Source organism: Homo sapiens, chromosome 11, assembly GCF_000001405.40.
Source record: "Homo sapiens chromosome 11, GRCh38.p14 Primary Assembly".
NCBI lineage: Eukaryota > Metazoa > Chordata > Mammalia > Primates > Hominidae > Homo > Homo sapiens.
In genome coordinates, this window is record NC_000011.10 from 132,959,738 (window position 1) to 132,987,626 (window position 27,889).

A 27,889-nucleotide genomic window follows, 5' to 3' on the forward strand; every position below is an offset into this window, starting at 1 on the left:
GGCACCTTAAATCTGGAAGGCAGAAAGGAAATTGGAAAGAGAGAATACTTCAGGACACACCCTGCTAACATAGCAGCCTGAGGAGGAAAACAACCCAAATCTGTCTCATCTCACACATAGTAATCTCAATTGTTCTTTCAAAATGAAACTGGGTGATTGCCTGTATTATGTTCCAAAATGGAACACCGTCCAAAACACTCACTGTTACGGGGCAAAACTCCAACCTTCCATTAAGAAACGGAATCTGGGAAACATGTTTGGCTCTAAAATTGAGCTTAAACAGGCTGCTTGAACCTCTTGACCTTGACCACAAAGATTGAACTAGGAGGTTTAAAACACCAGAGACAGAATTTAAAATTTACTACTCCTACTACTGCCACCGTTAATAACAATAGTAAACAATGTACTGCGTGCACGCAGCATATCCAGTTCTAAGGTAAGTGACTTACGTGCATAATCTCATTTAGCCGGCCCAATAACCGTAACTTTACGTGTAGAAAACTGAGGCCCAAGATAAGATTAGAATATCAAGAGTCAAGATGTCCCTCGAAAGCCCCAGTCCTTCCCTTCTTACCACGGTCACATGGGAAGTTTGCTGTGCTTAGTACAGAGAGAATCCCGTTCTGAACAAACTGGGAATCCCACGTGTGTAAAAAGCACAACTGTTGTGGTGGAAGCAGGAGGTTGGGGCGAGGCCAGGAGCGGGGACTGCGGATGGTGGAGGTCAACAGGGGAACAGAAACCGGAGGCAAGGCAGGATCCCTGCAAAAGCACAGGCTGCTTCAGTGGAGAGTAAAGCAGGGCTGCGAAATAAAGCTGCCTCTTCTGCTCTATTTTCCACCATCTCCCTCCCCCTCTCCATCTGTCTGTCTTCCCTTTTCTCTCTCCCTCTGTCTCTTCTCCCTTTGCAAATCTTCAGCTGCTAATTTCCATCCGACACGTTTATGAATTAATTCCAACACTTTTCTCTCTCTGTCAAGATATCCTGCTTTCGAATCTCCCCCACCCTTTGGCAATGTGCGCATTTCATTCCACACACTGTTTTACCGACAATTCCCAGACGTGGTGATTTGGTCTGACATCTTTGTGTATGCAATCAACCCATGTTACTGGGGCCCCGAAGAGAATACTGGAGACTGGGTCTGCAGCTGGACAACCTTGTAACTGGGGTGAGGCTGCAGTGATGCTGAGGACACAGCGGGGCTGAGGGGAGAAGCAGCAGGTGCGGCGATGAACAACACCCTGCCCCTTCCTGCTGAATCTAGCAGCCTCCATCTAGAGCAAAGCTGCCGGATTCCGAAAAAGGGCATGAGTGACTTTCTTCTTCAAGTAGCAAGGGTCTGTCAGAAATAACCCTCGGCATCCTCATCGTAATTAACGGAAAACTAATAAATAGTGCTGGGCAGGGAGTCCCAAAAATAGTTTTCCTGGAGATATAGACACTGACACAGACATGTGAGCAGCACCCTGAGCTGAGCTGCATCCCAGTGTCTTTTCAGCTTTGAAACACGATGTTTCTAAGCACATTGATGCCGTAGAAGAATGGATTCTAAGATTTCTACGTCTTAAATTTTAAAAAAAAGTACATTTTAAGGATAAGCAGCACAAAGATATATGTAGCTCTAAAGAGCCCAAGATATAAACAAATAGTGTATAGAGTGTCTGACATGGCCGTTCTGGTTCCATATTTGATAGATAGCTTCAATGATGGGGAGGATGATGGACACATTTAAGGTGGAAGAGTCAAGCGATGCTATTCGTAGATGTAGCAAGGAGAAGAAAAGTCAGTGCCGAGCACACTGATGTGAGATGTAATTCTATTACCTAAATATGTGTGAAGAATGGTAAATATAAATAGGCCCACAGGGCCGGGCTAAGCAACTGAAAAAATCATGGTTTCAGACTTTGCAGAAGTTAGGTCAGCTCTGTGGCCTTTGGTTTCCTCATCTGTACGATGAGCCCCTTTGACTGATGATTTGCAAAGCCTCTTTCAGATGTTAATAGCCTACAGATCCCTGGCCATTGCTGGACCACTGGCCTTTCTAGGAAAATATTGACATTTCCATCTCTCTCTGCATTAGCTCCTGTTGCTTCTGCCATATGAAAGGTCTTCCTCTGCCAGCCAAATTACAAGTCTTGCCTCTAAGGTCAGGCTCAGAAATTACCTTCCCTGGGCAGTCTTCCAGTTTCCTCTGCAAAAGCACTCCCTCTGTCTTCTGGATGCCCTCAGAATTCTATCCTCCGTACTGTAATCTTGTTACAATACATTTGACCTAGTTGAGTCCAGGACACTTTCTCTTTGCTACTGCACTGAGGTCTTTCTTTATTCTCAGTACCAAGCACAATGCTTGGCAAAGAGGCCGTGCTCAGTGCATGTTTGCTAAATGAATGAGTGTGACACTTTTCCGTAGGAGGTCCATTTTCATCCTGGCGTTTGTTTTAACTGGATGCTTGTAACACTGTACAACAGAGGGCCAAGGAGGCTTCTTGATGAATCATCTCAGGAAGAAAACTGAGCAAGGGGAAAGCACAGCACAGAAACCAGCCCAATTATCTCAGCCAATCCCGGCCCGGGCTCTCTCTGCCTGCTCACCCTCCCCCATCATGATGAAGACAGCATCTGCAGACCAAGAGTGTGCCTGGGAACTCACATTCGTTTGCAATTAGCAAGCTCCCACATGGTAAACAGACTAATTTTGCCTGTGCATCATCAGTTTGCCTAGTCAGTGATTTCTACTCAGAGCTTGAGGAAAAGATTTTTAAGTCTAGACTGTCGCGTGAGAGAACAGAAATTGTGGACCAAAGGAAAACCCTGCTATTATTCTCATATTTGTCACAGAGGGGGCACCCAGTTAAAGACATGTCATTTATTTCTTCAAACACACTCCCCGAATGGACAAGTCTGTGTTTAAAACCATGTTTCCCACCGACCCCAGCCTTGGCTCTACTCTGTACCATCCCCACCTTGGAGCCCTCCTCTGGGAAAGAAGGCTGTGACAAAGGTTGTGGGAGGCACTATTTTGATCCATTCACGGGCAGGCACTTCACCGCATTTGGGTTTTCAGTCTTTGCTGTTTTTCGTACAATATTTACTTTACACCAGGAGCTCTCCAACTTAGCTTTTTGCTTCAGCATCTCCAACCTCAGAAGCACTTCATCCCCACCAGCCTGCCTTCCCCCAGTAGATAAGAAGACAAAACAGAGACTGTTTTCTCTGCCAGACAGAGCAGGAGGCCTGCTTGACACGCATAGAGGAATCTCTGAATGGGGACCTGCAGCCGTGAAGCCTGACGTGACCACCCCTGGGCTCCAACACGGGAAACTGGCATGTCATTATCCACCCCACCACTAGAACCCCAGATGCTTGCAGGGTGGGCTTCAGGTTACTTGAAAATCACCGTGTCATAGACTTTAGGACCTGGAAAGGGCCTCCGATATCATTTTTGTAATGTGTGTTAACGCTAACATCTCCCATGTGCAATTCCCAACTCATGGCCCTCAGGTTCTGCTTGAAGATTTCCTTGAACACAACAATCACTACACCACAAATTGTCTTCAAATACTGACAGGTGGGCTGGGCACGGTGGCTCACGCCTGTAATCCCAGCACTTTGGGAGTTCGAGGTGGGCGGATCACGAGGTCAGGAGTCTAAGACCAGCCTGGCCAATATGGTGAAACCCCGTCTCGACTAAAAAATACAAAAAATTAGCCAGGTGTGGTGGAGCACTCCTGTAATCCCAGCTACTCAGGAGGCTGAGGCAGGAGAATCGCTTGAACCCAGGAGGCGGAGGTTGCAGTGAGCCAAGATCGTGCCACTGCACTCCAGCCTAGTGACAGAGCAAGACTGGGTCTCAAAAAAAAAAAAAAAAACTGTGGCTCTTGCGGTGAGAATGTCCTTCCTGCTTCCACTTCCTTCACCATTCTTATATAGAGGAAGAGAAAAGTGAGGGAGCAGAGAATGCCAGGGTCTAGGTTGTCAGCAAATATTAGCTCTTCTTCCTATCCGTATTACGATATTATTATTATTATTATTAATTGTTGCTGGTCTTACTTTTTTTTATTATTATTCTACATTCGAACATTGTCTCTGTCCTCATTCTACCTATATCCTAGCTGCACGTTAGGGTCGGGCACCTAAGATTTCAGGGCCACCAGCTGCATCTTGAACCCTTCTGTAGTTACACACTTGGAATTGAATTTACTCACTTCCTCATTCGATATCAGTTCAGGTGAGTGAATGTATACGGCAGGTCAGGCTTGTGCCCACTCTGCAAGCAGCCATTGTGTGCAGGAGGGAAGCCTCTGGAGGCTGGCAGAGAAATCCTTCTGTGCTGAACCCAGAGGGCAAGACACACCTAATGGTGCTGTTGAGAGGAAAGTCACAGTCCAGGAAACACCTGAAGGTGCAGAGGGAATGACAAAGGAAATGAGAGAAGAAGGATATATAAGTAAAAGAGAAGAATCGTTTCAGTGCAGTGTCTGAATCGTGTTGACTACAAAAACACATGGGAATATTATTTGAAGCAGAAGAGAGAATCTCCAGTTACAAGCCTGGTGTGCAGTCTTCATGATACTGCTTTTCACAGCAGATGTTGTTATGTAACAGATGTTAGCATGACATTATGGTAAGAGTTTGGACTTTGCGATCAATCCTTCAGATGTGGGTTCAAATCCTGATTCCACCCCTGAGTAACTATAAGAACTGAAGACATATGCCATAACCTGTGTGAGCCTTAGTTTTCTCACCTGAAAAATGAGGATGATAACAGCCCTACTTGGCTAGGAAGTGATTGCATGAGAGAGTACATAAAATGTCTAGAAACGTTTGTTAAGAAAGCCATTTGTTCCTTCTCAACCTACAAACCTGCTCACCAGTCCTCCCTGTTACATCCTACCGCTTCCTCCTGCCCAGTCGCTACCATGCAAGGCTCTGCCAAACGTCCACTCCTCCGTGACCTTACAGTTGGCACCAGGGTCCTCTGATCCCCTCAGCAGGCACATGTGGATGACACATTTTGACATGGAATAGTGGGTAATACTACTACCTGCTATGTAGATTCTATCGTTCCTTTATGAAGGCCAGAGAGGAAGCTGTTATACGCCAATTTTGAAAATGGGAAAACTGAGGCTCAGAAAGTTTATGTGAGTTGCCCAGAGCCATCAAGCAGAGACTGGTGGATTCAGACCTAGGTCATTTACTTCAAATCTCTGCATTCCTTATATTGCAACACACTGTATTTTGCATCTTGTTTCCTCAGAGATGTTATTCTTATGTGTCTAATTAGACAGTTTGTGTCTTTGGAGATAGTAACCATTTTCTACACTTTTCTGTATCTCTCACTACATGGGTGACACAGAGTAGGAAAATAATTAGATAAGCAGAGTTCAGATCTTCACCCTATCGCTTGTAAGCTGTGCAACCTAGGGAAGTTTATTCGTCCTCGCCAGCCTCATCTTCCTCATCTGGAAATAAGTACCGAAGTGTTCCCACTTCTTCCATTTCTCTCTCTCTCTCTTTTTTGGGGGGAGGAGGTGGAAAAGAGCTTGTAAAAATTAGTGTTAATTCTTCTTCAAATGTTTGATAGAAATCACCAGTGAAGCCATTTGGTCTTAGGCTGTTTTGTGTCGGGGGGAGATGTTTAAATTACTAATTAAACCTCTTGCCTATTTACAGTTTCTATTTCCTCTAGAGTCAATGTTAGTAGTTGTGAATTTCTGGGAATTTAGCTATTTCATCTAAGTTATCTAATTTATTGGCACATATTTTTGTCGTTGTTGTTGTTGTTTGTTGTTTTTTGTTTGTTTGTTTTCTTTTTGAGACAGTCTCGCTCTCTTGCCAGGCTGGAGTGCAGTGGTGTGATCTTGGCTCACTGCAATTTCTGCCTCCTGAGTTCAAGCGATTCTCCTGCCTCAGCCTCCTGAGTAGCTAGGACTCCATGCAAGGGCCACCACGCCCAGCTAATTTTTGTCTTTTTAGTAGAGAGGGGGTTTCACTATGTTGGCCAGGATGGTCTCCACCTCTGAACCTTGTGATGGATCTGCCTTGGCCTCCCAAAGTGCTGGGATTACAGGCATGAGCCATTGAGCCTAGCCAGCACACAACTGTTGATAGTGTTTTATTATTATTCTTATTTCTGTAAGGTCATTAATAATGTCCCTTCTTTTATTTCTAATTTTAGTAATTTGCATCTTTTCTTTCTTTTCATGTTCAGACTAGCCAAAGGTTTGTCAATTTTGTTGATATTTTCAAAGAATCAATTTGTAGTTTCATTTATTTTCTTTACTATTTTTATTATTTATTAATTTCCACCTATCTTTATTATTTTCTTTTTCTCCTTTAGCTTTAGTTTTCTATTTTTTTCCCATTTTTTGAGGTGGAAAGTTAGATTATTGATTTGAAAATTTTTCTCTTTTTAAATATAGGTGTTTGCACCTAAAAATGTATCTTTAAGCAATGCTTTAACTGTGTTTTGTATGTTTCGCTATGTTGTGTCTTTAGTTTCATACGTTTCAAAATATTTTCTAATTACCCTTGTGATTGTTTTTCTTTGATCATTGGTATTTGAGTGTGTTAATTTCCATTTTTTTAAATTTCTCAATTTTTTGTTATTTATTTCTATTTTAGGTTTAGTATAGTCAGATACTACACTGTATGATTTTGATCAAGTCATATACCATACTTTCCATTATTTCAATCATTTAAAGTTTATGAATTCCTGTTTTATGGCCAAGCATCTGCTGTATTCTGGAGAATGCTCCATATGTACTTGAAAATAATGTATATTCTGCTGTGGTTGAATGGAGTGCTTCATAGATGTCTTTTGGTTATAGTTGGTTCATAATGGTGTTCTTATCTTCTATTTCCCTGTATCATCTGCCTAGTTTCATATATATTATTAAGAATGAAGTACTAAAATCCTCAATTATTATTGTTGAATTGGTTATTTCCCTCTTCTTTTAAATCAATATTTGCTTGGTATATTTTGGGGCTCTGTGATTTGTTGTACTTATGTTTATAATTTTTGTATATTCCTGATGGATTGACCCTTTTATCATAGTAAAATGTCCTTCAATCTGCAGTAAATTTTGTTGTTTTAAAATATATTTTGTGAAATAGCCACTCCAGCTTTTTAATTCCTGTTTGCATGGAATATATATTTTTATTTTTTAAAGTTCAACCTATTTGTATCTAACATGTCTCCCATAGATAGTATGTAGTTGGATTTTATCATTTTTATCAAGTCTAACAATCTCTGCCTTTTGATTGTTTAATCTAGTCACATTTAATGTTACTAGTGATGTACTTAGATTTACTTTTTTGTTTACTACGTGTCACATGCCTTTTTTGTTCCTCTGTTTGTCGTTTGCTGCTTTCTTCATATTATATGCAACATTTTAATCTCTTTAATATTAATACTTTTTCACTCTATTTTATTGAGATATTTTATTAGTGATTGCTCTAGGACTTACTGTATATGTCTTAACTTATCAGAATCTACTTCAGATTTATACTTACTTAATGCCAGTGAGACATAGAAATATTATTTCTATATAGCTTTATGCCCTTTTCCCACATTTTGTTTCTTATACATATTACAACTGTATTGTTACAAACCAATAGTGCATTTTTATAAGCTACTATTTAATTAATTATATGACTTTTACAGAAGCTGAGAAAAGAAAGGAAAACAAGTATCTATTTATAGAGTTGATGGTATTAACCATCTTATTTGCCATTTCTTGTTTTCTTTATTTGACCCTGTGGAATCAAGTTACCATCTGGTGTTATTTCATTACTCTAATAAAAGTTGGCACCCACCCACCACTTTTACTGTTGTTATTGTCAGATAAATTACATTTCTATATATTATAAGCACAACAATACAATTATGTACACATTGCTTTCTACAATTGTTTTCTTAAATCAATTAAGAAAGAAGGAATAGGCATTTATACTGCCTTTTATAATCGCATAATTACTTTTATCAGTAATATTTGCTTTTTTGTATCAATTTAAATTACTCTCTAGAGTCCCTTTCTTTCAGCCTCAAGACTATGCTGCAGTATTTCTTGTAAGGTGGTCTGCAAGCAAGGTTTCTCACAGTTTTTGTTTACCTAGAAATGTCTTTATTTCACCTTCATTTTTTTTAAATTAAGGAATTAATGTCTTCAGAGCATGTTTAGGTTCACAACAAACTTGAAACGAAGGCACATATGAAGAGCTTCCCTCATCTGTTACAATTGCTGAACCTATACTGATACATTATTGTCACCTACAGTTTGTAATTTTCATTAGGGTTCACCTTTGGTGTTGTACATTCCGTGGATTTGACAAATATATATCGACACATTTATCTTGTACATATTTTGTTAGGTTTCTAGTTAAGTATTTTATTTTGGTGGGTGCTGATGTAAATAATATTGTGCTTTTAATTTCAAACTCCACTTGCTCATTACTGGTATATGGGAGAGTGGTTAAATTTAGCATGTTTACTCTCTTAGTCTGTTTTTCTGTTGCTATAATGAAATATTTAAAACTGGATAATTTATTTTTAGAAACAAAACATTTCTTACAGTTCTGGAGGCTGGAAAGTCCAAGGTTAAGAGCTACACTTAGTGAGAGCCTTCTTGCTGGTGGGGCCTCTGTGGAGTCCTGAGGTATGGCAGGGCATCCAATGGAAAGGGGCCTGAGCATGCTCGCTTGGATCTCTCTTCCTCCTTGAAATTCTCAGCTTCAAATCTTTTTTTTGTCTTTTTTCTTCCTCTTGTTATAAAGCTACCAGTACCACCCCTATGATAACCCATTAATCCATGAAGCCATGAATGAATTAGTCTATTCATGAGAGCAGAGCCATCATAACCCAATCACCTCTTAAAGTCCCCACCTCTCAATCCTGCCACATTGGCGATTACATTTCAGCATGAGTTTGGGAGAGGACAAATATTTTAAGCATATCATTAATCTTTTATCTTGCAATCTTGCTATGATTGCTTATTAGTTCCAGGAATTTTTTTGTTGTTGTTGATTCTTTCAGATTTTGTATATGGACTATCGTGTCATCAGCATATGGACTATCATGTCATCAGCAAACAGATTTACTTCCTCCTTCCCTATTAATATGCTTTTCTTCCCTTTTCTTGTCTTGGACTTCTAGTACAATGTTTAAAAGGAGTGGTGAGAGAGGACATCCTTGCCTTGTTTCTCATCTTAGTGGAAAAGCTTCTAGTTTTCACCTTCATTTTTTTAAATTCCTGGTTTTATTTTATTCTTTATTTCCATAGGTTTTTGGAAACAGGTGGTATCTGGTTACCATCACCAGAGCGCTATACACTCAACCAAATTGGTAGTCTTTTACCCCTCACCCCCCTCCCACCCTTCCCCCTGAGTCTCCAAAGTCCATTGTGTCATTCTTATGCCATTGCATTACCTTCATTTTTTAACGTTAGTTTTGCTTGGTAAACTATTTTTGATTGACTCTTTTAAAAATACCATTTTAAATATGTCATTCTACTGCCTTATAGTCTCCACCATTGTTTCTAACGAAATGTCCTCTGTTAATATTGTTGGAGAGTCCTTGTATGTGATAAGTTAGTTTTCTCTTGCTGCTTCCAACATTTTCTTTGTTTTTGTCTTTCAACCTTTTCCCTATGATGCTTATGGGTGTGGATGTTTTCACATTTATCCTGCTTGGAGTTTGTTAAGTTTATTAGATGTGTAGGTCAATTTTTCTATCAAGTTTTTGAAATTCTCAACTTTAAATATTTCTTCTTTCTCTCCTCTTGTTCTGGGACCCCCCCTGCAACTGTGTTTAAATTGTTGTACTTAGTGGTGTTCCATATGCCCTTGTGGCTCTGTTCACTTTTCTTCACACTTTTTTCTCTGTTTTTCTGATTGCGTACTTTCCATCAATACATATTTAAGTTCATTGATTCTTTTGCTAGTTGAAGTTTATTACTGAGCCCCTCTCATAATTTTTTTAAACTTAGGTTATATTTTTCAAATACAGAATTTACCATTTGCTTCTTTTGGGGCTCAATTACGTCTTATCAATATTCTCTAATTGATAAAGCATTGTCATGATACCTTTACATTATTTCATTAAGCATTATTCCCTTTAGTTTTTTAAATATATTTATTATGTCTGTTTGAAGTCTTTGTTAAATCTGACATCTGTGGCCTCTCACAGGCAGTTTCTGTTGCTGTATTTTTTTCTTCTGAAAAGTCACACTTTCCTGATTCTTTTCGTGTCTCATAATTTTTTGTTGAAATCTGAATATTTTATATAACACATTTCAGCAACTCCGGACACTGACCCTCCTGGCTCTCTTGTTTGCTTGTTTGTTTAGTGACTCATCCATCTCCCTCTTCATGGTTTCCAGGTCATGGTGCCCCCTCACCTTCTACCTTAGAGGAGCCAAGTGCATCGAGGCCCCTCCTCTTTCACATGCTTCATTATGTGTTTTCAAAATACATGTTTTTCACTTTTAAATTCATTTTACTGTTTGAAAATCCTCAAAGAATTATATAGGCACATACGAAATATTTTATTTATACTCAGAGAAGTTTTACCTCAAGTCTAATTACCCTTTTGGGAAGGGTGTGTTTGAATATGGAGAATCATACAAATAAAAATGCAAAGGAGAGAAATATTAGGACAAAAAAACCCCAGCTTTTCCTTAATTTAAAAGAAGATCAACCTATTATAACAGTTTTTGAGAACTCCAGAATCATATTTACTTGATTTTGCACATACCAGGCTGATCTCCTTTGGAATCTCAGTATTATCAGTGCCTACAGAGTATATTTAAAATTATTTATTGTGGCATTCATGGATCTTTATAATAAAACTTTACTTTTTTTCCAGCTATGAAAAATTTATTTTTAATAAAGTCATTTTTCCATAAATGTCACATAAACCCTCATTTCAGTCAAATGTAACTCACTGTCTCCATATATACATTTTGGCCTATGTTGCTTCTCCTACTCATGATAATCTTACTTTTCCTTTCTGTCAGGGCCAGTTCTGTCTTTTCTTCTAAACAGCTTAAATCTTACCTTCCTCTAGAAAAGCCTCCTGTAGTACTCATAGCTGAAGTTATCTTAAATTTCTCTTAGTTACTATAGAATTTACTTCATTGATCTTTTCTTTGGCAATTAGAAATTCCCTACCTTATGTTCTCTATTCTATTAGGTTCTTGCCAATTAAACTGTGCATTGTTTTCCTGGTGTTCTAGCTCCTCAGGTAGACCATCATCTCCTTGGCTACAGTGGCAGAGTCTTCATTTCTCTCTCAATCCCTTATAGCACAGTACTAAAAGGACTTTAACCTTTTCATACACAGTGACCGACTGTCACAAAGAAGCCTTTTTTCTAGCTGTTGAGAAAGAAGGCAAGCTGAAAAACAACATCTTTCAAAATTCCTCTAGCTGAGGGCTCTGACAAGATTGATGAAGGCCTTAATTCCTTGACTACACAGACAAAATATTATTTTGTTCTTTATAATAGCTTGCACATAGTAGGTGATCAGTAAATATTGACTAAAATTTCCCAATGGCTTTCATACAGTTTGCTGTGCCACTTTTCTTCTATTGATTTTTGCTTTCCACTAAGTAATGAGCATGTTTCTAACATGCTAAAATGAACAACAGATTTTCATGACTTTATCAGGGACATGCGCGAGTCTTCAAGCTCCCTGCAAACACAGCCTTTCTTTATATCATTCCAGCTAAGCCCGTGCGTTCAGCCCCACCCCATTCTTGATTCTTCTCCAGCATTGATGTGCTTTGCACTATAGCTTTTCTTGACTTGATACATCTAGCTCTGATCAGTGACTTGGAATGGCCTCTTTGTAAAACTTTCAATGGCAAAGAGCTTTCTTCTCCTTATGCAGCTGTACAGAGGTGACAAGACAGTAAGTGAAGTGTGAAGACACATGATTATCAAAATTCCAGGGAGGCTCTGTCTGCAGTCCTGGGGCTGAGGGCAGGCTGTTTGGTCATTACACTGTCACCTTTCCCACCCTCTTCTTTACTCTCTTTCCCTCCCGCCTCCAAACCACACCAATACTGGCTTTATTATCTACTCCCAAATCTAGATATGTGGGCCCTAAAACCACTAGACCCTACTGGCCCCAATCTAGCCTGACACCTTGTATGTAACTTATTGTACTTCAATTACTTGTACATTAACCACCCTGCTGCTACTGCTGCTGCCGTTATCCTCTTGGCAAGCATCAATGTGGAGTCATTTGCTTTTACAGCAGAACCATTAACAGGAATCCAAGGGCCTAAATACTTGCCATCCCAGGTACTCAGAGACAGGGATGGGGCATTCTTGTTGGTGCTGGTCACACAGGCAGACATAGAGTGGCTTCCTGGTCCAGGCAGCTTCCCAGAGGCTGCAGTTTCCTGATAATAATGTCTTCCTGATTTTGGGTGGCTCTGACTGGGAGAGATGGCAGCTTCTTCGTTGTAAAACAGGAAGTCTTGGTGGCCCCAGTCCTGCGGTGTGATTTTCTAAAAATTCAACCTGTTTTGTCTACCCTCTTGATGACTGGGCAAGCCATTTAATGTCCCACACTAAACACCTCTCTGCTAAAACAAGTTGCGGTGTATTCTGGGCTTACAGCAACTGCAACCTGACTGGCATGAGGGCCATCCACCTGGCAGGGGTTGTCTGAAAGCAACAGGCAACACACAGTTACCAAGGTCATATTCATTGCTGAGTGAATATGCTCCACAACATGTCAGGATGGAAAGCCCCATTATTCATTTTCTGGTGCTGCATCTCTTCGTGTGCGTTTTTATTAAAGCCATCGTTTGTCATGTTAAGCAGCTGTTGCAACATAAAGAGAAACTGTCAAATAATATGGCATTTGGAAATGGTGACATTTTCCTTTTAATGTCTCTTTCCTCCATTTCCCTCTACCCTCTTTCAGACTATTGCCACAGTAGCAATGCGCAAGGACCGTCAGCCTGACAAGTGGCTCTGTTTGCTGCTGAACAAAAACAGAACTGGGAACAGGCCCTTCCTTGTTCTCAGTGAGTTCTGTGATCTTCATGGGAAACCGCAGCCCCCTGCTCCCTCTGCTTGAGGCCCTGAGAGGCTGGCTGTACTCATTCCACAGACCAGAAGTTGATTGCTGTTGGTTCATAATGTTGTTGATGGAAAAAAGCACCACCTAGGTCTGTCTGGCACCTGGAACTCCATGTTAGGAAGCCTGAGTGTACACAGGTCTGAGAAGAGCCTCACACAGCCCATACCTGGTACTGAGCCTCCAGCTATCTCCCTGCACCAAAGAGTGTCAGCAAGTATGACAGTTTTGTGTTGTTTGTTTGTTTTTAATCAACTTTTGTGCTAGTGCCAGACCCTGACTTGACAACCTTTTTCTCCTCATCAATGAGGTCTCTTCATCCTCAATTTCTGGCTCCATCCTGGCCTAGATTTTAAGACAAATGTCCTCCTTCTCCTCCTTCTAAGGGATTTTATGGAGCTTATGATGAGGCTCTGTGCAAGTGGGTATTGTCACAAAATATAATTGTTCCCTTCCACCTCCAAAATCACTTATTCAGACATCCCATGCTTATACCACAATCCCTCTTTCGTCAGCTTGCTTCTCCAATTATTCCCACCATGATGCATCTTTGACCATTTTGCAACTTCCTGGCCATTGACTCCTGTACTTTAACTCAATTCAAAAGGTTTCTACTTTCTTCAGTTTCCTTCTAAACCAGCTTGGATTTCATGGTTTGTTATTATAATTGCTCCAACACCTTAGACTTCTTTGCTCAATAATCTTTTTGTCACAAACTTGTCATCAAATTCCAAGCCTGGGTGAACTCAGCTTTCTGTTTTCTCTGAGTCTACAGCTGAGAAGTCAAGCACAGTTAAGGACACAACAAAGTTGACTGATTACTTAATAAACTCATGCTCACCAAAGGCAAAGACCCTTCAGCCTTATTCTACAATTTTCCAGCTAATCTTTGGTCACTTCATACATCTACTTTCCACAATGACTTTTCCAAACCTTCTCCAATCTTCTCATTCCCCTGAGTCCCCACTCATCTCCCCTTTGCTCTCGGCAGATGATCATCTTCTACTTAAGAGCAATAAAGAAAGCACGGAGTGGATCTGGCCTAGCCTACCCCTTACCAAGCATAGAGAAAGCACGGAGTGGATCTGGCCTAGCCTACCCCTTACCAAGCATAGAGAAAGCACGGAGTGGATCTGGTCTAGCCTGCCCCTTACCAAGCACACAGACCTATCTACACGTGGGTCTTCTTTCCCTCCAGCTGCTATGGAGAAGCTGTCCCTCCTCGCATAATCACTCATGTCTCTGGCCATGCTTTGGGTTTTATCCCATCTTGATGTCTCAGGAAAATTACTCTAATAAGCATTTCTTGCCTTTATTATATTTCAGCCTCACTATATCAAGTTTACCCTTTCTATTTGAAATATATGACAACATAAACTAAATTAACTTTTTAACTTGGTCCTTCATCTTCCAGCTACCTCTCTATTAGTTTCCTCCTCACTTCAGCCAAGTATCTCAAAGAGTTTTCCAAAATGTTCGCTTCCATTTCTCATCTCCCCATCACACTTTGCATACCAATACAGCCTTTAACTCGCCACTCTACCAAAGTTCTTCCTATGGTCACCGAAAAAGCTCATCATCACTGGTCATCAGAGAAATGCAAATCAAAACCACAATGAGATACCATCTCATGCCAGTTAGAATGGCGATCATTAAAAAGTCAGGAAACAACAGATGCTGGAGAGGATGTGGAAAAATAGGAACGCTTTTACACTGTTGGTGGGAGTGTAAATTAGTTCAACCATTGTGGAAGACAGTGTGGCAGTTCCTCAAGGATCTAGAACCAGAAATACCACTTGACCCAGAAATCCCATTATTGGGTATACACCAGGATTATAAATCATTCTACCATAAAGGCACATGCACATGTATGTTTATTGCAGCACTATCCAATGGGTATTCTTAAACCTTCAACTTCTCGAGACTTCTCTGTATCCTTCAACACTTTCTCTTCCTTCAAACACTATTGTCCTTTGATTTTCTCCTAGCCCTAAGCCTGTTTTCTCTTTGTTTTCATTGCAAGATTACCTTCTTCTGCTTGGATTCTGAATGTTGGGGTTCTTCAAGGCTCTGTTTAAGGCCCTCTCGTCTGTTTACTCTATACTTTCTCCAGAGTCTATAGCTTCAATTATTACCTATAAGCTAATAATTCACTAATCAGTCTCTTAAGTCTGGAGCTCTGTACATATATATCCACCTGCTATTTTAGTATCTTTTCTGGAACTCATTCATTCTTTCTCTCCACAGTTACTGCGCACCTACCTTGATGCCACTATAGGTGCTGATTATACAGATGTGAACAATATAGACCAAGTCTATATTGACATGAAACTTAAGATTGCAGTAGGATAATAAATAAGAAAGAAAGAAAATATAACAAATATAATGTAATGATAGGAAGTGGTAAGTATCCTGAAGAAAAATAAAGCAGATAAAAGAATAACAAATGATGGAAGTTTTGTTTTCAGTTGTATGGCTATGGAAGTCCTCTCTGATGAAGTGACATTTCATCAAATGAACCATGCAAAGTTTTGGAGGAAAAAATGCCAGGCAGAGAAAATAGCAAGTAGAAAGGCAATGAGGAAGAAGCATATAATATGAGTATATGGGTGCATAAACTCAGCATAAAAAATAACTTTTCAGATTCCCTTAATTTACCCAACTTCTCCAGCCTGGATGTCCCATCCAGGTTTCAAGCAAAAAAAAAAAAAAAAAAAAAAAAAAAAAAAAAAAAAAAAAAAAAAAAAAAAAACAAGCACACTTTTCACATCCAACCTCTTACTAAGTCCTGTAAAATCTATTTTTCTGGAAATTCTACTTTATTCTTCCTACTTAGTCATTTCCTATCATCAGCAGCTGGCTTTCTTTTTTGCACTCTGCATCCCCTATGCCAAGATCTGTCCACATAGTAGGCATATCTTCTAGATAGTACCTTCTCCTGTCTTCTTTTTTGTTTTGAGATGGAGTCTCGCTCTGTCTCCCAGGCTGGAGTGCAGTGGTGTGATCTTGGCTCACTGCAACCTCCACCTCCCGGGTTCACACCATTCTCCTGCCTCAGCCTCCCAAGTAGCTGGGACTACAGGTGCCCGCCACCATGCCCGGCTAATTTTTTGTATTTTTAGTAGAGACGGGGTTTCACCATGTTAGCCAGGATGGTCTCGATCTCCTGACCTTGTGATCCGCCCACCTCGGCCTAGCTATCTCTTGAAACATAAGACTAAAGCTCGTTTCAAAGATTTACTGATATCTGCTTTTGACTCTTCTTCCTTGTCCAACATAAGGTGTTACTTATCTGGTCATGATAGAGTGGATCGTTGGAGGTGTATTTTATTGTGAAAATCAGAATAAAGGGTAGAAATGCCAGCAATTTCCAGAAGATTTGTCTGTAGTTAGTTATTTGTTCTGTTCTTACGAAGGGTGGACAGCTGCTGGACCAGGGTGGAAAGCTGGATCGAATGAGGTGGGGGGAGGGGTTAAAATTCAGAACACAGGACTTGATGCTATCTCAGTTCCTGTTCTCTTAATGAAGTGGTATTTGCTGAAAGAAGCTATTTGTTTTCGCATCAGAAAGATCTCCTATAAAAAACAGGCAGCCATTTATGAATCTCTAACAGTTGATGTGACCAGTATCATGCCACCTGTGACTCGTGTTTATTTCCCTTGTGGAGGCCAAGGATGAGGTTAGCATGTATAGCCGCAACCAGTTCCAAGCTCCCATCAGGTGTTCAAGTTGATTTGCAGAAAAATGGGATGATGATTTTATAATAGCTAATAGAGTTTCTGATTTAATGCAGCTGCTAGAAATTAGCAAGGACTCCATTGAAAGCTTCCCAGTCACTTATAATAACAGGATAATAAATCACTCCTAGTACTTTCTGGCATTTATAATTTTATTAGAAACATAAGCCCTAGTTCAGCTACTCTTCTCGGTTTGTTTTTCATTTATTTATTAAATTACCTTTTAAAATTCAAGGAAAAAGAAAACAGTGTTCTTATTTGGCTGCCAAATATGTGAATGAGTGATAGTGTCTCCACGGAATTCCTTATTTCAAAAGAGATTAGAGAAGGGGCAGAAAATTTAGATGAAGCCATAGGGAGCTTTTTGAAATTTTCATTGTCTTGGGGACAATGTTAACGCATAGCAGAAAGCACTAGATGTTGACTGTGAAGACCCTTGTCCCACATACTTTCCTCTGCTCCCTGCCTGCACGACACTGGGTTACTTTCTCCACATCTGAGAGCTTAATTCTCTCATTTATAGAAGTGGGATCATCATCTCTTTTCAATGTCTATTTGCAAGGTAGTTGGTATGTCTCATAAAATAATACATGTGAAAGTGTTTTGTCATTTGTCAGGTTCAATGGATATTAGATATTTTTGTTTATGAAGAGCTTTGTTTTTTTGCTTGTTGAAAACACTTATTCAAAATAGGAGGCCCTGATTGCTAAGCTATTCACAGCTGCTTTGTTCCCCTGCCCTGGGCTCCTAAGGAAGGTCTACCTCTCTCTCTCTGCTGGATCTCTCAGCTGATTCTCAACTGTGTCAATAACAACTAAATAATATCCCAAAATACCCAGAATCTGGAACTGGGCCAGCTTCCCTCTAGATTTAGCTCATAGATAGCTATCTACTCATATCGCAGTCACAAAATCACAAGAAAATGTGTATCACACTCACTGTAAATGCAGCCACGCATTCACTCATGTGGCTCATGTGGCCATATTTTTTTCATATTCTTATAAATACACTTTGGCAGAACCCCTGTCATCTGGTCCTTGAATTGTATAAAGAAGAGATATTTGGGAGCCCTGGGAGTTACTGTACCCAGCCACAGCTGGCAGACAGAATTATATAGAGTGCATATAGGAGTCTTCGGTGACCCACCTGATCTACAAACTTGCTAAAGTAGGGAGCAGGTTCAATGTATTTAATTCAATTCCAAAAAGTATTTATTAAAATGGCTCTACACTGCTTAATGCTATGGAGAATAGGACAAAAAATGTGTGGTTTTATTTTTTTATTTACTTTTTTTGCCCAGAAGGAGTTTATGATCTCATTGGAGAGATAAGATCTGCACAGTCCCTGGAGAACATCAGGATTGGATACAGAATGAAGAGCAGAAATGGGCCAGAGGAGACACGGAAGTCCTGTGGAAAATGTAAGAGCTGCTGAAAATGGTTTGTGGACTTGGGAAGTTTCCAACAAAACAAAAAGAATGGAGGAATGGTGTTGAGAAACTGGTGGAGGCAGAAATAAATACCGGATGCCGGCGGGCTAAATAGGACCTCTGTCTGATAGTGGCAGACAGGGACATCACCTTCACAGCACAGGTGATACAAAGAAACACAAGTAGTTGATGACCAGTGGGTGCTGAGGTAGGAGATAAAAGGTAGGAAAATCGTTTGGACCAAGCTTGGGAAGCCTTTAAAATTATTTGACTTTTAACCTCTAAGAAGTGAGAAGTCACATGGGTTTTTAAGAAAGGAATGGTGTGATCAGATTTTGGTTTAACATAGTCCCCCTGATGTCACAGTGGAGAGAAGAGTTTGGTAGCAGGGAGGCCAATCAAGGTATCTTCTCCGCTGAAAAGCCTTAAAATGACAGGAGCTGAATCTCATCCAGCTGGAAGCAGGACTAGCATCATTCCAAAAGAAGTGATACTCATACTGTCTTTTTGTCCCAGAGGGGTTCCCTTTAAACCACTCATGTGAATGGCTACCCCGGGGGTCTGCAAGGTGTGGCTCTGCAGAAGCTACGAATAAAGGATATTTCTAGGATTCAGATGGCAAGGCTTTATAACCAAGGAAATATCCAGGGTGAGGGAACAGGGGTCAGTCTTTGGATCTCTGTCCTCCTCTGTCTCCATGTTCCCCCTTGGAGACCTCATCTACTCTTATGGCTTTAAATATAATTGCTATGCTAATGACTCAAATACATTTGCATATGTATAATGTGTAGATTATACATGTGTATATACACGCACACACAGACATACACACACGTATACACATCTCTTTCTCCGAATTCCAGAATTGAATATTCATCTGCTCAGTTACCCTCTCCACTTGAATTTTTAGTAGGCATCTAAAATTGAACATGTGCAAACCCCAACTCCTCATGTCATCCCGTTCCCAACTCACAGCCCCCACATGTTTCACATCGCAACAAATGTCAACTTCTTCTTTTCATTTATTCAGAACAAAAACTTTGGAATCAGCCTTGACTCTTTCCACCCTCTCATATCTCATACCCGGCCCATCAACAACCACTGCCAGATGTGCCATCAAAACACATTCGGAATCCCATGCCTTCTCCCTCCATCCATTTCAACCTGCTCTAAACCACCTCTGTCTCACACCCGGATCACTCCGCACTTTCTGCCATGCAATAGATTCTCACAACAGCAGGAGGAACAGCTGTTTAAAGCAAGTCTGTTCATGTCACTCCTCTGTCCTGAGCCCTCCCCTGGCCCCCTTTCACTCAGAGTACAGAGCCTCGTGTGACGTGGCTCCTCATCCCTGTCTGACCTCTCCTCCTCTCCCACAAGTCCATTCTAGCCACAGTTCCTTGTTCCTTAGACAGCCTGCTCACACTCCTGCCTATGGCATATGAAGTGGCAGCCACATATTCTTAAAAGGCTCTTTCTCCAAACATCCACAGGATGGCCTCTGCCGAGAGGTTTTTGCTCCAGTGTTCTCTCAGTGAGACCTCCTCTCCACAACCCTCCCACGGTCTCTTCCCTCCTCCCCAGCCCGATTTTTCTAGAGCATGTTGCCATCTAGCATACTGGGTTTTTGTTTATGTGTTTACAAATTAATGCATTTATTGTTATTTCTACTAGAACAAAATGTTGCTTAACATCTCAACACTCAAGAAAAATGTGAAGCTGGGAAAGTAGACTTGGTGGTCTTCAGAACGTAAGTAACAGTTGAGGCCCTGGGAGAGGGAGGGTTTAACCAGGAGAATTTGCTGGGAGAGCAGCTTGTAAGAGACTGAGAAGGAAGGGATGCTGATGGAGAAGAAGGCAGGGGGATTATAAAGGCAGGAGGAAGCCTGACTATTCAGAATGAAAGGGTGAAGAGTGTTGAAGCAAAATATTGAGCCATTTGGTCAAATATCATAAAGAGGCTGAGTAAGATAAAAGTTAAGTGCTGAATCTTGAGTCTAGATGTTAGAGAGAGGTTATTGCCCTTAAGGAAATTAGTTTTAGTTGAGTAGAGAGAGCAGAAGCCACACTATAGTGCCTCAAAATGTGAATAAGAGATAAAAGAAATACGGATGGCAAATGTATATTCACCAACTTGATGAAGGGACAAAGGAAGATGAGATGGATGCTGAATAAAGCATAGCTCTATGAGTAGATGGGGTATTTCCTGAGGTCTCAGTAACCTCTAGCTAGAACTATGAAAAAAGAAAGCCAGAGAGAGATCCTTCTTGGATAATAAGTAGATGTACAATATCAGCAAAATATTCCCCTTACTTTCTTAGTTGCCAGTTTATATTAAATCTCTGAAAGAAGAATTTAAGTTTGGCATTTTGTTATTATGAAAGTACTATATTAACAACAGTCTGACATCTTTAATCCATTCAACTAGAAATTATTTGTTTCCCCTAGAACTAAAATAGGAAGTGGGAAGAAAGCAAGGTTTCTGTATTTGTTCTAAGTATTTCTTATTTTCTTAAAAAACATAGGCCCTGTGGATTTATTACTGATAAGTGCCTTGTAATGAAGTGTTAGCAAGGAATGCACTTGAAGTGCCTTTAGCAAATTTAATTTTTAAGTGTGTTATGCAGTCAGAAAATTGACACTAAAAACAAGGATGTACGTTTCCATCTCCATTCTCCCTCGGTGGTTTCCGGGCCATCTCTGCTCAGTTCATAGACAAGAGATAATTTGGTAAATGGCACAGCCTCAAAGTCCATTTGGAACTAGAACAACGGGCCCAAGGGTTTCCCTTCAATTAACTATTTCCCTGTGGGCAAAAAGGAAAGTCCGCTGTGAATTTCGAGGTGTACGGTGACTTATTTCACAGCACATACAGTCCCGTGTCACTTAATGACAGGGATTCATTCTAAGAAATGCGCCATTAGGCAATCCTGTCATTGTGCAAACATCAGAGAGCACTTACACAAACCTATAGGCTATAAACCTGCAACAGCATGTTACTATACTGAATACTGCAGGCAGGTGTAATACAATGGTAAGTATTTCTGCCTCTAAGCCTATCTAAACACAGTAAAATATGGTATTCTAATCTTGTGGGACCCACATCACATACACAGTTCATCATTGATCCAAACGTCGTTACGCAGTGCATGGTTGTATTGGGCATTTATCTTATGCCTGCACAGTGCTAGGCACCAGGCAGGATACAGAAGAAATGGAAAAAGACAATCATTTTAGAACACTTTCAGCCCCATAGCAGCAACAAGACAGATAAGATGTAGTGAGATGATTAGGATGTGGTTTCTGTAGATAAGGCCACGTGGTGGTTAGAGCAAAGTCCAAGGTGACAGGGGCCCACTCTGCAGGCAGCACTGGGTCCTGAAGGCGGAGTTCTGTTGGGATTTGTCGATGGAGGGGGAGGCTGTGGAAGCTACTGGAAAGCCTGAGAGGAGGTTTTGGGAGAACACTGAGGGATAACGGGCACTGGCGGGAAAGGGCCTGAGGGAGGAATGTGAATTTGATACAATGAGCTCACACAGGAACCACCGCACGTTTATAAACATTAGCAGTTGACTATTGGCTGAAGAGGTGTTCAAGGAAAATTAATCTGACGATTACACGTAAGAATGACTAGAGGAGAGATATTACAGGGGGAAACAAAAAGACAGCGATGGATGCCATCTTGGCTCACATGGTGATCTTAGACTCAGCTTATTTTAGAAAAAGGGTTAAACGTAAAAATCAATGACATCACCAAATAAGAATTGACAGGAAACTATGATAGCTGAGTCAGCTGAAGTTTCCAAACCAACAGAATGAAGAAACAAATGGAAACTCATTTTTACTTGCCAGGTTCTGTGTTAGGCGTTTCACATTTTCATCATATTTGATCTCTACAATGACCTTGTAAGGAGAAAAATGAAGGTTTACAGGTTTAACGTATTTGTGTCCGTCACATATCCAAACATTTGTGAAACTAAGATGCAGAAGCAGGCCTTTGGGTTCTAAACCCAGAACTCTTTCCAATGCATAATGTTCTGCCGAGCCTTGTCCTGGATTCTACGGCTCGAATACGGGCCCTTAAGCTTTTTACATCTGCTCTACTAAGATTTCCCCAATCTCCAGACCAATTCGGCTACTCTTGTTCCTAGTGCAAGCCCCATTTTCTTCTGCCTTTGCTGCTAATATTCCCACAAGCCCCTGCTTCTTTCTCCTCTCCTTATCTCTGTTAGGATTTTTAAAGCTCATTTTAAATATCATCTACTCTATGAAGTTCTTCCATTTATCCCAAATGTGTGTGATCCCTCTCTCCTTTGAACACCTCTACCTTTCTCTCCCTCCTTAACGCTTATACTGCAGTTCCTTGGGTGTTTGTCTCATCTATAATATCAGACTGCACCCTCCTGAAAATAAATAAGGCTCTTTAGGTGTCCAGAAATCTTCATAATTCCTTCACAATAGGAATTCGTTGGACAAGACAAGAAAGTAAAAAAGGAGACAATAAAAGGCTTAGAGCAAAAAAAAAAAAAAAAGTTGTAGCTACACTAGCTTAAGAGACAGCTGGGTTTGACATCAAATGACCCTGAACTTGGAGGCAAGGGGAGCTGGGTTCTTTGGATAAGTCACTTCACCCTTCACCTTGGTTCCTCCTCTGAAATATAAGCAGTTTGGATATGTGGTCATCTCTAAAACCGTGTTCAGCTGTAATATTCTGTTACTGATATTTGCAGGCAGAAAATCAAAATCCAGACCTTGATCATCTTATTAAACTCGGATATTTTCACTTTTTAAACAATCAGCCTCACTCCACTGGTCAACTTTAATAAGCCAGCTCTCTCTATGAGCCCAGCACCAAGACAGCTCCACTGAGCCCCCAGCGTGGGATGCATGCCAGAGCTTTCTTGGGTGGCTTGGCCCCTTGTAAATCACAGAGTTGATACTCCTGTTCCCAGCCTGGGTAATGTGCTGTGGCTTATTTGCATAACAATTACATGCCTTAGGAAGGCTACTGATTGGAACACTCCTTGCCAAATTATGATGGCTTTTTGAATGAAGCTGCCTTTCCTGTCTCTGAACAGCTGCTGGTGCTATGCTTGGTCTTCCACCACCACAGGGAAAACAGCCCCCCTCCAGCTTGCAAGGTTGCTTTTCAAGAGGCAGTCACCCCAGCATCTCTCTACATCAAAATCTCTGCTAAAGCCATGGCCCGGTGACCTTTCCCAAGCAGGTCAGCGAAGACTCTCATAGCATCACAGTTTGGGAGAAAAACACAGCCCAAGCCAGCACCCAAGTGCAATGCTGGGTAAATGCCTCTGGGATTGGTCCAGGCCTGGTGCCAACTCCATCAAGTTCTCACTTTAATAAAAGCCTCTCAGTTACTCAAGCAATAAATATTTCATTTTTTTTTCCTGTGTCAACACTGCATCAGGTACCAGCAGTGCAAGAAGAAAGGCGCAGCCCTGACTCGCTGCTGGGACTGGTGAGTGACCACCCAGAGCACTGCATGCATGTTGTTCTCGCTGCTCATGCTGCTTTGTGCACTGTCTATGGTCCTGTCTTATTTACTGGGTAAGCTCCTGGAGAACCGAGATCACATCTCATTTTTCTATCACTTCATCCCCAAACATAATGGAGTAGCTCAAGCACTTTGAGAGCAAGGCTGATGTCTGCTATTGCTTCTTCCCTGTCTCCCATATCATCCAGGAAAGTTATTTATTTATACGGAGTACTCCACAAAGCACCACACACATCTACATTTTTAAAATAAAAATATCAGCACATCTTGCCCACATATGGCTATGTGTTCTTCTGAGGCAAAGCCAATTATGTTAATGGCCTATTAACATTCTACTGGTAAAAGTGAAGAAAAACAAAGAAAGAGATTAAAGAAGGCACTAAGTAATTTCCTTCTTAGTAAGTACTACTTTGTGCCAGCCACTTTGTCAGGTTCTAATCCATTGAGTTTACTATTGTCTGGATTCCTCAGAAGGTTCCTGGAGGGCCACATTGTGATAGAGGTCTCATAATTCTACCTCTACTACTAGAACTAAGTTTTACAGAAGAGTGAAATTCAGGAAAGCATCTGCTTCCAATGGGCTTTAGGTTGACCCTGCAGGTGATCTTTCCCAAGGCCAGAAAGCTTAGTGACTATTTCATTGACCCGGATCCAGTATGCTATGCCACCATCTAAACCCAAGGCTTAGGTCTGCTGAGACATAAGACAACTTACAATTATAGCTAAGCTGTATTGAACACTTATTATTTTCTTAGAGTCCTTATAACTACTCGATAATTATTCATTTAAGATGAATTTCACAAATATTTATTAAGTACTTACAATATAATGGCAATCAATATGTTATATATTCCTCAGTACTGGGACCTTGGGGAAATAAGGATTAGCACTTACTATCTGGCACACTGAATAAGACATACTAATAAATTTTACAAAGTATTGCAATATTTATTCTCTTTTTTATCCTTGCAATATTTAGTAATAGATATTGTTAATCATTATTTTCCCTTTTCGTAAGTATAAAAGGAAAACAGGGCTTAAAATGTTAACTAGTCCAAGCTGCCTGGCAGCCACAGCTGTAACTCTGATGGTCCCAGAACCTTGTCCAGTATTTTCCATCGCTATGTGTACTTCCTCCCAACCTCACACCAGCATCTTTCTTAGAACTCTAACCAAAGACCACTGACTGCTGATTGGACCCCAGACAGTGAACATCTGCAAGCTTCAGAGACCACCAGCAACAGCTTGAAGACACTATCTATTTACAGTAAGAATCCTGAGAACTTTCAGTGACCTGCACTGTCTCGCATTTTCACCCCAGTAGTGTTCTGTTCACCCTGCCGCCCGCTTCCTCTGCTTCCCTGGAGTTACGCGTGGTGTATCCATGATTAACAAATTCGCTCACAGGCTCAGCCAAACCACCAAGTATTTCTCTACCCTCCTGTCCTTTGTTCCCCCGTAGAACACCTGCTCCTTCCATCACATTAAGAAGGCTGTTTATTTACTCTCATCTACCCAGCATGAATTCAGCACCTTCCATTTACTCTTCAGCACACATAATCTGGCTTTCATTCTCATAGTTCCACTGCAACTTCCCTAGCCAAGACACCCATGGCCTCCTGTGTTCAATTCTTATTGTTATATAACAAATTCCCACAAATTTATCAACTTGAAACAACATGTTTGTTTTTCTATAGTTTCTGTGAGTAGGAGTTAGTAAGGCACTCTACTCAGGACATCACCAGGCCAAAATCAAGGTCTGGGGTGGCCAAGGCTGTAGTTCTCATCAGAGGCTCAGAGTCCTCTTCTAAGCTTACTGGTGGTTGAAAGAATTTGGTTCCTTGCATTTGTGGGACCAGAGTTCCCATTTTCTTACTGGTTGTTAGTAAGTCACCTTTCTCAGTTTCTAGACACCATCCTCAGGTTCTTGCCATGAGAACCCTCCATTGGCATATCACAACCTGGTCATTTGCTTCTGCAAGGCCAGCAAAAGAAAGCACAGTCACCTCACACCTCTCTCTTTCAAAGGGCTCTCACCTTTTAGGTCAGACTTAACCAGGAGAATATTCCCTTAGATAAATTCAAAATAAACTGGTGAAGGACCTAATCACATATGATGCAAAATCTCTTCTTTCCATTTAATGTAGCCTGAATATAGGAGTGAAATCCTCTCATATTCACAAGTTCCGTTCACCCTCAAAAGGAGAGGATTATACAGGGTACCTGCACTAGGTCCATCTTACAATTCGGCCTATCACACCTCCGTATTTTCAAATCTGCTTTTCTCTGCTTCTCCTAATAGGCCTATTCTTCCTTTTCCCTGCAGTAAATCATTCTGTTCTGCTAGTCTGAATGTATTTTCTCTTGGTTTTCCAATTGTCTCTCTGGCTTTTCATTTCTACCTTTTTCACAAGTTTTTCTTTCTTTGTGTTCTATGCTGAGCTACTTATTTTTTCCAAAAGGATAATTCTGTATCATACATCAGCCTGTTGAAATGTGCTTTTACCACTGCCTGGAATGTGTTTATGATGCTTCTTCTTTCTCTAGCAAACTGTCATTCATCCTTTAGAACTCACATCAAGCATCAGCTCTGAAAACTTTTTTTTACTTTCTTTCCCTCAATCTAATGGAAATACCCATAAAACCTCCAGTCTTCCCATAGCTTTCCTTGAAAATTCTAACTAAGCCATTATTTTATTGCAGAAAAATCACTGACTTACTCATCTATCACTCTGACTAGATTCCTTGAGATTAGAGAAAATATCTCAATTTTTTTTTACTAAAAACTACCTCAAGTAGTTTTTAGTAAAAAGTAAACAATCTGGATATGAAAGAAAGTATAATAAGCATTTTACAGGTGAAGAAACAGAATAATTAAGGTTAAGTAAGTCACTGAATTTTACACATTCAATAATAGAGTAGGAGAGAAGTCAGTCTCCAACACACTTAGGACCATCTCAGGATCCCAGATTTAGGAATGTGCATGATTATTATCAAAGTCAATCCTAAATGAGAATAAGCACCTAGCACTTTGCCTGGACCATAATAGGTGACCTACTCAATAAACAGTTTTGAATGAAATCAAGGAATCCTCGAACAAATAAATAATTTGGAAATAATTGGAAAAAATATAGAAAGTTAAGCTTGTAAGGGTTCTGTATCTGTATGCCTTTAGAAAGATTTTCTTCTTTTAAATGGAAATTGGTACTTGGTTCAGGATTTAAAACACTAAAATGAGAATGGGTAATCGAGAGTTAATTACCATCAGGGAAAAAGAAAATCCAGTAAACTAAAATAGGAAGTTCCCTATAGATTCCATGACCCTCTGGAAGCAAATTAAGCATATCTACAGAAGATGTAGAATGAATTCCAATAATGAGTCTTGAAAAAGTTGAACGTTTTAATGAATACTCTTACAGGTTATCCAAGCCAGCACTCTGAGTGAGATGAGGCGAACATGAGCCAGTGAGACGATGCGAATGTGGGAGGGAGCACAGGACTTCAAGACGGGTTTCTAACTCTTCCTACCCTAAGTAACCATGTGATCCATCCACGCTCTCCCTCTTCACCTCTTCTTTCGACAACACTTCCTGACAACTAATGTGCTAGGTGCCCCAATCCCTGTCCTCTAGAAACTGTCTGTCTTGTGGAGAAGACTGGATAGTGATTAGGAAATGACAACCCACTGAGAGGGCAATGAGATGAAAATTTGAGCATTCCTTGACAACAGTTTTGTAAGGGGGAGGGAGGAAGAGAAGCACCGGGGAAAGAATGACTTCTACGCTGCCAACCTGAGGAGCCAGGCAATGGAGCCTAGGGGAGAAGCTTTCATGTAGATGTAAGAACGTGAAGACCAAGGGGCCTCTGCGTGTACCTGGGGCAGCAAGCAGTTCCGTGTGGCTGCAATATGAAAGAAGAGATGGAGACAGTGGGACCAGACAGAAATAAGGATGCAGAGGTAAGCTAGTGGTTTGTGAAAGGCCCCATTGCGAGAGAGTTTGTGTTAATTCTGAAAGCCAGGTTGAACTATCAAAAGGCTCATAGCTGGGCTAGGGTGGCACAATCAGATTTGTGATTTCAAATGACTACTCTAACCACAGTTGGAGAATGTAT

General features: G+C 40.6%; 1 protein-coding gene and 1 long non-coding RNA gene across 6 annotated transcripts in view; one reads left to right on the forward strand and one right to left on the reverse strand.

Moving 5' to 3' along the window:
- OPCML (opioid binding protein/cell adhesion molecule like) overlaps positions 1-27,889 on the reverse strand; it is a 1,117,521-nt gene that overhangs the window by 544,757 nt on the left and 544,875 nt on the right. The gene's annotated exons all lie outside the window — the stretch shown is intronic.
- LOC105369580 (uncharacterized) lies at positions 287-23,421 on the forward strand. 2 transcript variants are annotated; one of them, XR_948205.3, is made up of 4 exons: positions 287-436; positions 18,133-18,252; positions 19,936-20,011; positions 23,340-23,421. It is a non-coding gene; the product is annotated as an uncharacterized LOC105369580 (long non-coding RNA). The 2 variants fall into 2 exon arrangements; XR_948206.3 differs by lacking the exon at positions 287-436 and adding an exon at positions 13,231-13,311.